The sequence below is a fragment of the Homo sapiens genome, chromosome 19 (assembly GCF_000001405.40).
Source record: "Homo sapiens chromosome 19, GRCh38.p14 Primary Assembly".
In the NCBI taxonomy this organism is placed as follows: Eukaryota; Metazoa; Chordata; class Mammalia; order Primates; family Hominidae; genus Homo; species Homo sapiens.
In genome coordinates, this window is record NC_000019.10 from 14,602,553 (window position 1) to 14,616,298 (window position 13,746).

The 13,746-nt window shown below is 48.1% G+C and overlaps 2 protein-coding genes across 13 annotated transcripts in view, besides 2 other annotated features; one reads left to right on the forward strand and one right to left on the reverse strand.

Moving 5' to 3' along the window:
* CLEC17A (C-type lectin domain containing 17A) overlaps positions 1–9,483 on the forward strand; it is a 31,085-nt gene extending 21,602 nt beyond the window's left edge. For 5 of the 12 annotated variants that reach the window (XM_017026788.3, XM_017026787.3, XM_017026791.3 and 2 more), the window contains 2 exons: positions 4,441–4,550; positions 7,512–9,242. In XM_017026788.3, the coding sequence (XP_016882277.1) occupies positions 4,441–4,550; positions 7,512–7,644 (243 nt within the window). In that variant the 3' untranslated portion in view covers positions 7,645–9,242. Of the gene's footprint in view, positions 1–4,440; positions 4,551–7,511 lie in introns of all 12 variants that reach the window. The other 7 variants (NR_109784.2, NR_109785.2, NM_001204118.2 and 4 more) reach the window with 5 other exon arrangements.
* Positions 1–13,746, reverse strand: part of ADGRE3 (adhesion G protein-coupled receptor E3) — a 74,728-nt gene that overhangs the window by 2,436 nt on the left and 58,546 nt on the right. The gene's annotated exons all lie outside the window — the stretch shown is intronic.
* Positions 1,333–1,582: an enhancer, noted in NCBI's record as "active region_14178". NCBI's record gives its function as "activates an Ori minimal core promoter by ATAC-STARR-seq in GM12878 lymphoblastoid cells {active_cell/tissue: GM12878}" and the evidence as "EXISTENCE:reporter gene assay evidence [ECO:0000049][PMID:35858748]".
* Positions 11,674–11,723: a silencer, noted in NCBI's record as "silent region_10261". NCBI's record gives its function as "represses an Ori minimal core promoter by ATAC-STARR-seq in GM12878 lymphoblastoid cells {active_cell/tissue: GM12878}" and the evidence as "EXISTENCE:reporter gene assay evidence [ECO:0000049][PMID:35858748]".

A 13,746-nucleotide genomic window follows, 5' to 3' on the forward strand; every position in this document is an offset into this window, starting at 1 on the left:
AAAGTGCTGGGATTACAGGCATGAGCCACTGTACCCAGCCTAATTGGTATTTTTAGACCGTTTACATTTAATATAATTACTGATTGGGTTGGATTTAGGTCTATCATCTTATTATTTTCCTGTATGTCGTGTCCCTTCTGTTTTTTATCCCTCTGTTTCATAGCATTATTTGTATGAGTAGTTAAACAGTTTTTTTTTTTTGAGATGGAGTCTTGCTGTGTTGCCCAGGCTGGAGTGCAGCAGCATGATCTTGGCTCACTGCAACCTCTGCCTCCCGAGTTCAAGTGATTCTCCCGCCTCAACCTCCCGAGTAGCTGGGATTACAGGCGCCCACCACCATGCCTGGCTAATTTTGTACTTTTGGTAGAGATGGGGTTTCTCCATGTTGGCCAGATTGGTCTCGAACTCCTGACCTCAGGTGATCCACCTGCCTTGGCCTCCCAAAGTACTGGGATTACAGGCATAAGCCACCGTGGCTGGCCAAAACAGGGCTTTTGAAGGAGTTAAATTAGGTAATGTAAATGAGGCAGGTGCAAATCATATTCCCTAACTCAGTTTCACAAGAAATACAACTACATTTCCTTTAAATTACTCATTTTAGTTTCTCTCTTGAGTTCTCATTCTGCTAGAATGGTGTACATTTACTCTCAGTCAATTGGGTTCTCCCATTTTACTTCTAAATGGGGACAGCTTTTGTGGGGTCAAGGTGGAAGGGAGCACACATCGGGTCTTTGCTGTCTTTACTCCAAACTGGTATCTACTGGGACATCTACAGACTGAATGATCCTGGGAAGGTTACTTAACCCCTCTGTGCCTCAGTTTTCTCATCTACAAAATGGGCATAATGATAATACTTGCTTCAGTGAGTCATGATAAGGATCCAATGAGACAATCTGTGCAAAGTAGTATAGCTCACTTTTTTTTTGAGATGGGATCTTGCTCTGTTGCCCAGGCTGGAGTGCAGTGGCATGATCTTGGCTCACTGCAGCCTCCATCTCCCAGGTTCAGGCAATCCTCCTGATTTAGCCTCCCAAGTAACTGGGACTATAGTCACGTGCCACCACTCCCAGCTAAGTTTTGTATTTTTTTTTTTAGTAGAGTTAGGGTATCATCATGTTGGCCAGGCTGCTCTCTAGCTAATGATCTCAAGTGATCTGCTCCCCTTGACCTCCCGAAGTGCCGGGATTACAGGAGTGAGCCACCGTGCCCTAACCCATAGCTCACTTCTTAATTCATTAATTCAACCAACATTTCCTGAGCACCTACTATGTGCTGGAGACTATTCTACATATTGGGGATCCAGTGATGACCAAGACATATGAGTTCCCTCTTCTTAAACTGCTCTGATTTTGGTGCCTAGAAATAGCAAGGACTCTCTAAATGTTAAAGAGTCTTCTGGTTTTCTGGGGCTCAGACTTTGGGCCATCTAGGCTGCCCCTGAGGCATCCCACTCTTCCATCAGCAAAGCCTTTTGGGCCTGGAGGTCTTTTCCTGCTGTTCTTGGGCACAAGAGATCTTTCTGCTCCTCCTATCCCATTCTGGGGTCTAAGACACTGTGAGGCCTTCTAAGCCTCCATCTAGTCTGATGGGACAGGAAGACCTTTCCGCTCTCTGATTTTCTGACACCTCCCTGGGGCTTTACCCAGGAAATAGTCCCCAGGTCCCTTCTGCTTTTTAGAGTCTCCAAACCCATCTGGGGTTTTTACCATCACCTGAAAAGCTCACCGGAAATGAGATACCAGATTCTTCTCTCTGGGGCCTGCCATGTCTACACATTTATTATTTCCTTCCCATGGTGACTTTACCTCCCCACATTTTTTTTTCCATCAAAGCAGAAATTTTATTACCCACATTCTTTGACCACAATGCTATAACGACAGAAATATTTTCTTTTACAAAAATTTCAATCACCTTAAGAATGTTTAAAGTCGGCCGGCTGCAGTGGCTCGACTGTAATCCCAGCACTTTGCGAGGCCGAGGTGGGCAGATCACCTGAGGTCAGGAGTTTGAGACCAGCCTGGCCAACATGGTGAAACCCTGTTTCTACTAAAAATACAAAAATGAGCTGGGCATGGTGGCGCGTGGCTGTAATCCCAGCTACTCAGGAGGCTGAGGCAGGAAAATCGCTTGAACCTGCGAGGCGGAGGGTGCAGTGAGCTGGGATCACACCACTGCATTCCAGTCTGGGAGACAAAGCAAGACTCTGACTCAAAAAAAAAATTTTTTTTTTAAAGTCACCAGATAACTTTGGATTAAAGAAGAAATCAAAACTGCAAATAAATAAAAGCAAACATCAATTGGCATTGCCTATAGTAGAACACATGAAATAGATTATAGTAAAAAATTCTTAAAACACAAAGAATTCCAGGATGTGGAAAGCTGGGGCGAGTGTTACTCACACCCAAACAGCAACAATAGCCAGAATAACTACAAAATCATAACTTTTTCTAAACTCATTAGCTAACTGAGATCACCTGGCAGTCAAAAAGTCTAAAATGGGCTGGGCATGGTGGCTCACGCCTGTAATCCCAGCACTTTGACCTCCCCACATTTTTTTTTTTGAGACGGGATTTCGCTTTTTGTTGCCCAGGCTGGAGTGCACTGTCGCGATCTCAGCTCACTGCAACCTCCACCTCCTGGTTTCAAGCAATTCTCCTCTCTCAGCCTCCCGAGTAGCTGGGAATACAGGCATGACACCACGCCTGGCTAATTTTTGTATTTTTAGTAGAGATGGGGTTTTGCCACGTTGGCCAAGCTGGTCTCGAACTCCTGACCTCAGGTGATCCACCTGTGTTGGCCTCCCAAAGTGCTGGGATTACAGGCATGAGCCACCGCGCCCGGCCACCTCCCCACATTTTAAGGAATCTTGGTTTGGTGGTAAGTTGGGTGAGTTAGATGTGATTTGCATATAGTAAAATGCACAGATCTTTGATGTATGTTCAGTGAACTTTGACAAATGCGTACACCTGTGTAACTGTCAAACTAACCAATATTTATAATCTTTCCACCACCCTAGAAAGTTTTTTCATATCCTTTTTCTAGTTAATCCCTCCCTGCCCCCTACTTGCAACCACCAGTCTAATTTCTTTCACCATCAATTTGTTTGGAGAGGAGTTGCTTCTAACTATATTTTCTTCCCTATCTTTTATCTCTGTCATAAGTCCTTTCTTTTCTTCCAAAGACCTGGGATTTTGACTTTTTTCCGGGACAGAGGCTTGCTCTGCTGCCCAGGCTGGAGTGCAGTGGTGCATTCATAGCTCACTGCAGCCTTGAACTCCTGGGCTTAAGGGATCCTCCCACCTCAGCCTCCTGAGTAGCTGGGACTATAGACACGCACCACCACGTCTGGCTAATTTTTAAAAATTTTTGTAGATATGGGGTCTCAGTATGTTGCCCAGACTAATCTCGAACTCCTAGTCTCAAGCGATCCTCCCTCCTTGGCTAAAGTGGTGGGATTACAGATATGAGGCAGCGTGTCAAAAGCCTGGGCTTTTGAAATACCAAAGCTAGGAAACCTACTTTTCATCTTCCTTCCTTCTTTTCCTGGAACAATGAATTCTTATGTTGTTTGGATGCAGATTAAGGCTACCGAGTAGCACAAAAGTGCAAGAGAAACCAAAAAAAATCAGTTACTATTGCTAAAAATGTCACTTAAATGTTATAATGCTACCTACTAAGACGTCCACAGTATGAGGCTCTGCACAGTGGCTCATGCCTGTAATCCTAGATCTTTGGGAGACTTACAGTGACCTTTGGGACATGCAGTGAGCCATGATCACACCACTGCACTCCAGTCTGGTTGACAGAGTGAGACCCTGTCTCAAAAAAAAAAAAAAAAAAATTAGGCTGGATGTGGTAGCTCATGCCTGTAATTCCAGCACTTTGGGAGGCTGAGGCAGGTGAATCAACTGAGGTCAGAAGTTTGAGATCAGGCTGGTCAACATGGCGAAAGCCCGTTTCTACTAAAAAATACAAAAATTAGCCGGGCGTGGTGGCGGGTAGCTATAATCCCAGCTACTCGGGAGGTTGAGGCGGGAGAATCGCTTGAACCCAGGAGGTGGAAGCTGCAGTGAGCTGAGATCGCACCACAGCACTCCAGCCTGGGTGACAGAGCGAGACTCCCTCTCAAAAAAAAAAAAAAAAAAGTTAATCCTCACAACACTACCAGGAGGTAGCTACTGTGAACCCATTTTACAGGTGAGGAAACTGAGGCACGGAGCAGTTCGCAGATTGCATGAGAAAAAGTAGCACGATTATTCCCACCACACATGCTACAGTGGGAGGAAGACATTGATCCTGTTCTGCATACCATGGGGACGGGGACGGGTTGTGGGAGGTGACGTTCCCAAGCCCTAAATATGTAGGACAGGGCACAGGGCAGGTCCTCACCCTGAGGGTCATGTAGAGGAATGGCTGGCTGAATGGAATTTTTATTTGCAGAATTTTGTGGCCAAGGCCCATGGCTCTCCACGGGTGTACTGGCTGGGGCTGAATGACAGGGCCCAGGAAGGGGACTGGAGGTGGCTGGATGGGTCTCCTGTGACATTAAGGCAAGTGCTTGGGTTTCCTGGGGTCTCTCTGCTTCCTCTGTGGGCCCTGACCATGGGGAGGGGAGAAGGTGATGGAGTACATGGTTGAAGGAGTCAGGAGCTGTTTCTTTTTTTTTTTTTGAGACAGAGTCTTGCTCTGTCGCCCAGGCTGGAGTGCAGTGGCGCAATCTCAGCTCACTGCAAGCTCCGCCTCCCAGGTTCAAGGTATTCTCTGCCTCAGCCTCCCGAGTGGCTGGGACTACAGGTGCCCATCACCATGCCCGGCTAATTTTTTGTATTTTTAGTAGAGACGGGGTTTCACCGTGTTAGCCAGGATGGTCTTGATCTCCTGACCTCGTGATCTGCCCGCCTTGGCCTCCCAAAGTGCTGGGATTACAGGCGTGAGCCACCGCGCCCGGCCAGGAGCTGGTTTTTACTGGTACAGCTCTACTTGTTTTATTTTATTTTATTATTTATTTATTTATTTATTTATTTATTTATTTATTTATTCTTTGAGACGGAGTCTCGCTGTCGCTCAGGCTGGAGTGCAATGGTGCGATCTCAGCTCACTGTAATCTCTGTCTCCCAGGTAGAGGTTGATTCTTCCACCTTAGTCTCCCAAGTAGCTGGGATTACAGACACCCGCCGTCGTGCCTGGCTAATTTTTGTAATTTTGTAGAGATGGGGTTTCACCATGTTGGCCAGGCTGGTCTTGAACTCCTGACCTCAGGTGATCTGCCCACCTTGGCCTCCCAAAGTGTTGGGATTACAGGGGTGAGCCACTGCGCCCAACCTTATTTTAGTTTTTTGAGACAGTCTCGCCCTGTCACCCAGGCTGGAGTGCAGTGGTGCAATCTCGGCTCACTGCAGCCTCAACCTCCCAGGCTCTGGTAATCCTCCTGCCTCAGCCTCCCGAGTACCTGGGACCACAGTCACACACCACCATGCCTGGCTAATTTTTTGTATTTTTAGTAGAGATGGGGTTTTAGTGTGTTGCCCAGGCTGGTTTTGAACTTCTGAGCTCAAGCGATCCACCCGCCTTAGCCTCCCAAAGTGCTGGGATGACAGGCTTGAGCCACCACACCTGGCCTCTACTAATTTTAAACACAGAAAAATTCCTGTCCTGTTTGGTAAATTGCCATTGCCTTAAATCTCCTGAGAATCCTTCTGCTGCCCCTTGGACTTCCACATCACCTAACAACTAAAGGATTTGTCATTGGCAAAGAAGGGGCCTAGAGACCCTGATTGCAGGGTGTGTGGCACAGGTAGCATTGCTCATTATTTTGGTACACCACCCCCAGTCATTCCCATTTCCCTGTGTGCTTGGCATCCTTGCAGTCCAAGCTGATAGGGTGTCTAGCATCCCAGGCTTGGCCAGACAGGGACAGCACCAGGGTGATTTTTTGGTGACAGGCTGTCTGGACCCTGAACCTTCAATATTTCCTCCATTGCAACATCTCAGTCTTTTCGTAAAACTGCTGAAATATATCAAGCTCTCCAGGCTAATGGTTGGGAGAAAAAAGGGAGGGTGGAAGGATGAGGAAGAATTTTTTTTTTTTTTTTTTTTTTTGAGACAGAGTCTCACTCTGTTGCCCAGGCTGAAGTGCAGTGGTGCAGTCTTGACCCAATGCAACCTCTGCCTCCCAGGCTCAAGTGATTCTCCCACCTCAGACTATTGAGTAGCTGGGATTACAGGTGCGCACCACCATGCCTGGCTAATTTTTTTTTTTTTTTTTGAGACGGAGTCTCACTCTGTGGCCCGAGCTGTAGTGCAGTGGCACAATCTTGGCTCACTGCAACTTCTGCCTCCTGGATTCAAGCGATTCTCCTGCCTTAGTCTCCCAAGTAGCTGGGATTACAGGCGCCCGCCACCATGCTTGGTTAATTTTTGTAGTTTTAGTAGAGACGGGGTTTCAACATGTTGGCCAGGCTGGTCTCGAAATCCTGACCTCAGGTGATCTACCCGTCTTGGCCTCCCAAAGTGCTGGGATTACAGGTGTGTGCCACCGCACCTGGCGGAACATTGGCTGCTAAAGGCTCACAGGAATGCTTTTTCCGCAAAGCTATTCTCAGCTGAATGGGAGCCTGCTCACCTAAGACACTACCCAACTCCACTGGGGTCAGCTCACAACCGGTGACAGCCTAAGAGAAGCCTGGACCCCTTGTGACAAGTTGGGATGACTCTGGTGCTGTTGACATCCCAGTGGTCTCTGTTGGGGTCAGGCTGAGGCTAGAGTCATCTGAGTCCATGCTCCTGCTCAATTCCTTCCCCTTCTCCATCTAGCTTCCCTCACCTCTCTCCTAAGAACATCCTTTAATAAATCCTACACACTCGAGTCCCTGAATCAGGCCCTGCTTTAAGCAAGAGCCCACATGATCTAAACAATTCCTAGAAGGTTGGGTTGGGAGGTTGTAAAAGAAAGAGTCCTTGGAAGACAAGACAGAAACTGACCAGATTCAGAAATTGATTAAGGGGCCAGGCACGGTGGCTCGTGCCTGTAATCCTAGCACTTTGGGAGGCTGAGGCGGGCGGATCACTTGAGGTCAGGAGTTCAAGACCAGCCTGGCCAACATGGTGAAACCCCGTCTCTACTAAAAATATAAAAACTAGCCGGGTGTGGTGGTGGACACCTGTAATCCCAGCTACTTGGGAGGCTGAGGCAGGAGAATTGCTTGAACCCAGGAGACAGAGGTTGCAGTGAGCCGAGATCACGCCACTGCACTCCAGCCTCAGCGACAGAGTGAGACTCTGTCTCCAAAACAAAACAAAACAAAACAAAAAACCCCCCAAAACCAGAAATTGATTAAGGGCCAGGCACGGTGGCTCACTGTGCCCGGCTTACAGGTGTAAGGCTCCACACACGGCCTAATATGGGTTTTGCCAAATGCGTAGTGCCAGGTATTCATCATTACAGTATTATACAGAAGAGTTTCACCACCCTAAAGATCCCTGTCCCTCTGCCCACTTTTTCCTCCATCCAGCTTCTGGGAGCCAGAGGAACCCAATAACATCCACGATGAGGACTGTGCTACCATGAACAAAGGTGGCACCTGGAATGATCTCTCTTGCTACAAAACTACGTATTGGATTTGTGAGCGGAAATGTTCCTGTTGAAGCCCAGGGCCGAGGCTGGGGGTCCATATCTGAGTGTCTCTTTGAGATGAGAATCTCCTGCCCTTTCGTGGACGGCCTTGCCTCTTCGTGAGTGGACACACAGATGTGCCTCAAACAGGATTGGCACCCTGGATGCAGCAAGTTCCCAGGGGTGCAAGTCAGGCTGTTTCTAGAGTGAGGACTTGGGCTTGCCCTAGTAGATGGTGAGCTGGGAGGATGCTCAGAGCTTGGTGGTGGGAGGTCTCCCACTTCTGGGGTTGAAAGGATCTTCACTAAGTTCCTGATCATGACTCTTGGGAAGTGATACTAGCCCTGAGGACCCTGGGGCTGGTGTTGAACCTGGGATGAAATATCCTGGCGCCTGTGAACCACAAAGAGCTGGGACTGGGCTCCTTTTCCTGCAGCCTCAAACTTCTGGGCTCAGGTGATCCTCCCATCTCAGCCTCCTGAGTAGCTGGGACTACACATGCGCACCACCATGCCTGGCCAATTTTTTGTAGCATTTAAAGAGAGGGAGTCTCACTATGTTGCCCAGGCCAGTCTCAAACTCCTTGCCTCAATGGATCCTCCTACTTGGGCTTCCCAAATTGTGAGGATTACAGGTGTGAGCCACTGTGCCTGGCTCAAAATTATTATTATTATTTTTATAGAGATGAGGTCTCACTCTGTTGCCGAGGCTGGTCTCAAACTCCTGGGGTCAAGCAATCCTTCCGTGATGGCCTCCCAAAGTGCTGGGATTACAGGCATGTGTCACCGTACCTGGCCGATATTTTTATTTTTATTTTTACTTTCCCCATCTTTTCCTTTTTTTTTTTTTTCCAAACAAAAGCTTTGAAAGTGGTGACAGAAAAATTTCCCTTTGAGCTAGACCTCTAGATCTGCCTCGCACAGAAATACATTAAGTGGGCTGGTCTCATGTAGTCCCCACATCATTGCAAATTACAAACCTAAAAATACAGAACATCAGCGGAGAAGACAGGAGAGCTTCTATATTCACCCCATGTCGTCCTCTCCAGACACTGCTTCCTTCCTGGTCTCAAACAGCACAAATAACCCAGAAACCATCAAAATTATTTTTGACCAGCAACTTTCTCAATGTCTTGGGTGAGGTTTGCACAAGCTAAGTGGCAGAATCAGACTTTTGCCAGAAGACTTGGCCCGTGGAACTTCTATCCTTTTTTTTTTTTTTTTTTTTTTTTGAGATAGGGTTTCATTCTACTACCCAGGCTGGAGTGCAGTGGCACAATCATAGCTTACTGCACCCTCTGCCTCCTGGGCTCGAGTGATCCTCCTGCCTCAGCCTCCCAAGTAGCTGGGACTACAGGCGTTCACCCTCACACCTGGCTGGCCCATGGAACTTCTAGAAAGGCATACCAGCTGAAAAGCAAGACCCCTACATAGTGTGGCCAGGCAGGCCATAACCTGGTCATATCCACACAGGACAACGATGGACCTATCTGCCAGCACGTGCCCTTGAGCTATCTGTGGGTTGTAACGTCTTTGATGATATAATTCACTTTACTTGCCAGGCACAGTGGCTCACGCCTGTAATCCCAGCACTCTGGGAGACTGAGGTGGGCTGATCACCTGGGGTCAGGATTTCGAGACCAGCCTGGCCAACATGGTAAAATCCTATCTCTACTAAAAATACAAAAAAATTAGCTGGGCGTGGTGGCATGTGCCTGTAATCCCAGCTACTCAGGAGACTAAGGCACGAGAATTGCTTGAACCCAGGAGGCGGAGGTTGCAGTGAGCCGAGATTGTGCCACTGCACTCCAGCCTGGGTGACAGAGCAAGACTCCATCTCAAATAAATAAATAAAAATAAAAATTCACTTTACTTCTGTGTGGACTTTCCTGGGCTATTAGCTCTTGCAATGTTAGTGCTTCTCAAAATGCCACTATGTTGGGTGTTCCTTGTCTACTGTGTGTTAGTTTGCTGGGGCTGCCATAACAAAGGACTGGGTGGCTTCAGCAACAGAATGCATTTTCTCACAGTTCCGGAGGCTGGATGTCCAAGATCAAGGTGTTGGCAGGGTTAATTTCTTCTGAGGCCTCCTGTCTTGGCTTGTAGATGATCCTCTTCTCCCTGTGTCTTCACCTGGTTCTCCTTCTGTGTGTCTGGGTCCTAATCTCCTCCTCCTCTTCTTTTGTTTTTGAGACAGGGTCTCGCTCTGTCACTCAGGCTGGAGTGCAGTGGTGTGATCTCAGCTCACTGCAACTTCCACCTCCCAGGCTTAAGCATCCTCCCGCCTCAGCCTCCTGAGTAGCTGGGATTACAGGTGTGCACCACCGTGCCTGGTTAATTCTTGTATTTTTTGTAGCAACGGGGTTTCACCATGTTGCCCAGACTGGTTTTGAACTCCTAGGCTCAAGCAATCTGCCCACCTTGGTCCCCCAAAGTGCTGGGATTACAGGCATGAGCCACTGTGCTGGGCCTACAACGACCACTTTAAAGATCCTGTCTCCAAATACAGCCATATTAGGAGGTCCTGGGAATTAGAATTTAAACATATGCATTTGGGAGGGGTGGCACAATTTGGCCCATAACATTCACAAACTGCCAGAGTGACCCCCACCCGACCCTCCTGCCCTGGCCATGTGACAACCAAAAAATACCAATTAGAGGGCTGGTACTACTCCCAGCTAGGCATAACTCAACATAGTATTCCCTTTGGACAATCCCTGAATTGCATCCAAGGGTGGGTAGACATTCTCCAAACCAATCAATTTATTTTTTTTTTTTTTGTGACAGAGTCTTGCTCTGTTGCCCAGGCTGGAGTGCAGCGGCGTGATCTCGGCTCACTGCAACCTCTGCTTTCCAGGTTTAACTGGTTCTTCTGCCTCAGCCTCCTGAATAGCTGGGATTTCAGGCACGTGCCACCATGCCTGGCTAATTTTTGTATTTTTAGTAGAGACAGGGCTTTGCCATGTTGGCCAGGCTGGTCTCGAACTCCTGACCTCAAGTGATCCGCCCACCTCAGCCCCCTAAAGTGCTAAGATTACAGGCGTGAGCCACCATGCCTGGCCTTATTTTATTTTTTGAGACAAGGTCTCACTCTGTCGCCCAGGCTGGAGTGCAGTGTTGTAATCATAGCTCACTGAAGCCTCAAACACCTGAGCTCAAGAAATCCTCCGTCCTCAGACTCCTGTATAACTAGAACTACAGGTGTGCCCCCACCACACCCAGCTAATTTTAATTTTTTTTTTTTTTTGTATAGACAGGGGTCTTGCTTTGTTGCCCAGACTGGGCTTAAACTCCTGGTCTCAAACAATCCTCCTGCTTCAGCCTCCTAAAATACAAGGATTGCGATCAATTTATTGATCAATAAGCTCCCTTAATCAATAGCAGAATCTTTCCTGTTTTGTCTGAGAACAGGTGCTTATAGCAAGGAGACTGTGAGGAGAGCAGGTGGTGGGAGAGGTCGGAGCTGATTTCACTTCCTGTTTCTTTGATTTGTTTTAAATCTACTTGTTCTTTTATTTCGTTATTAAAAAAATTTTTTTTGAGATGGAGTGTCACTCTGTCACCCAGGCTGGAGTACAGTGGCATGATCTCGGCTCACTGCAACCTCCTCCTCCTGGGTACAAGCGATTCTTGTGCCTCAGCCTCCTGAGTAGCTGGGATTACAGGTGTGCGCCACCACATCCGGCTAATTTTTGTATTATTAGTAGAGACGGCATTTCGCCACTTTGGCCAGGCTGGTCTCGAACTCCTGACCTCAAGTGATCCACCCGCCTTGGCCTCTCAAAGTGCTGGGATTACAGGTGTGAGCCACTGCACCCAGCCTCGTTATTTATTTTTAAGAGATGGGTTCTCAGGACGTGGCCCAGGCTGGAGTGCAGTGGCATTTCACAGGCACGACCCCACTACTGAGTTTTGGTTCTGTCTGTCCTCTCTTCTCACCTCTGCCCACCTCTGCAGCTGCCCTGATGCATCACTACCAAAGCCAGCTCCTGTACTGTCCGCAGCCTGCTGAGTGGGTGGGTGTCGTGTTGTAAACCCTCCACCCAGGGGACTGTTATGTCAAGCAACTTTATCTGGGGTCAGGGGAAGTTCCCACATTTCAGAAGAGGGAAGTTGTTTTCTGATATGCGTATTGAGAAATGGGGAAGCAGGGGTCTGTGGTCACGTCTCTAGGAGGCCCCTGGTGGAACTGGTCCCAACCTATCTCCCTTCCACATCTCTCATGATTATCTAATTGCAGAGAGGTAAATATGAAAGAGGTCACTTTTTACCACTTTAGGTCCAGGGGAGCAACAGTTGGATAAAAATAATAACCATGGTTTATCAAACATATATTGTGTGGTAAATAAATGCAGTGGCTCTCATTGAATCTTCACCATGACTTTGTGAGGTTGGAATATTTACCAACGCCCGCCAATCTTTTTTTTTTTTTGGGCAGAGTCTCACTCTGTCTCCCAGGCTGGAGTGCAGTGGTGTGATCTCGGCTCACTGCAACCTTTGCCTCCTGGGTTCAAGCCATTCTTCTGCCTCTGCCTCCCAAGTAGTTGGGATTACAGGTACACCGTAATGCCCAGTGAATTTTTTCGTATTTTTACTAGAGATGGGGTTTTGCCATGTTGGCCAGGCTGGTCTCAAACCCCTGGCTTCAAGTGATCTGCCTGCCTTAGCCTCCCAACGTGCTGCGTGCTGGGATTATAGGTGTGAGCCACTGTGCCCGGCCCCCATTTTTTTTTTTTTTTAAAGACAGGGTCTCACTCTGTCACCCAGGCTGAAGTGCAGTGGTGCAATCACAGCTCATTGTGGCCTCAACCTCCTGGGCTCAAGTGATCCTCCCACCTCAGCCTCCCAAGTAGCTGTGGCTATAGGTGTGTGCCACTACACCTGGCTAACCAACCCCATTTTATACCTGGGCAAACTGAGGCCCAGAGGTGGGGTCTCACGGCTTGTCCATTGTCATTTAGTGGGTAAATGGCAGAACTGGGATTCAGATTCCATCTGTGCCTCCCACTGTTTGTTGATCTCTTTCTACAGCTGCCTTCTTTTTTTTTTTTTTTTTTTTTTTGAGATGGAGTCTCACTCTGTTGCCCAGGCTGGAGTGCAGTGGTGTGATCTTGGCTCACTGCAACTTCCATCTCCCACCCCAGCTCCCTCGTTCCTCGGGAGAGGTGACTCTGAGATGCATGTTCCACATTATCTCCTGAAAGTCCCCACTAGGGTAAAGCTCCACCTGCCTAGAGAGATAGCCTGCTCAACTAACACATTTTTGGTTAATTTTTAAAATTAAAAAAAATTTTTTTTAGAGAGACAGCATCTCTGGCCAGGTGTGGTGGCTCACGCCTGTAATCCCAGCACTTTGGGAGGCCGAGGCAGGTGGATCGCTTGAGGCCATGAGTTCGAGACCAGCCTGGGCAACATGTTGAAACCCCATCTCTACTAAAAAATACAAAAATTAGCCGGGCGTGGTGGTGCGTGCCTGTAATCCCAGCTACTCAGGAGGCTGAGGCAGGAGATTTGCTTGAACCCGGGAGGCGAAAGTTACAGTGAGCTGAGATTATGCCACTGCACTCCAGCCTGGGCAACAGAGAGACTCTGCTAAAAAAAAAAAAAAATTAGAGAGACAGGTTCTCGCTGTGTTGCCCAACCTAGAGTGCAGTGGTGCAATCATAGCTCACTGCAACATTGAACTCCTGGGTTCAAGCAATCCTCCCGCCTTCGCCTCCAGAGTATCTGAGACTACAGGTGTGTGCCACTGCTCCCAGCAATAACACATCTTTTAACACATCTTGTTCTTTCTCTGCCTTACTTTTTTTTTTTTTTTTAACAGAGTCTTGCTCTGTCGCCCACTGTAACCTCCGCCTCCCAGGTTCAAGTGATTCTTCTGCCTCAGCCTCCCGAGTAGCTGGGACTACAGGCCTATGCCACCACACCCGGCTAATTTTTGTATTTTTAGTAGAGACGGGGTGTCACCATATTGGCCAGGCTGGTCTTGAACTCCTGACCTCTGCCCTTGTGATCTCCTCGTGATCTCCACGTGAACTCCTCGTGATCTGCCCATCTCGGCCTTCCAAAGTGCTAGGATTACAGGTGTGAGCCACCGTGCCCAGCCCTGCCTCATTTCTTCACACCCCGTTGGTG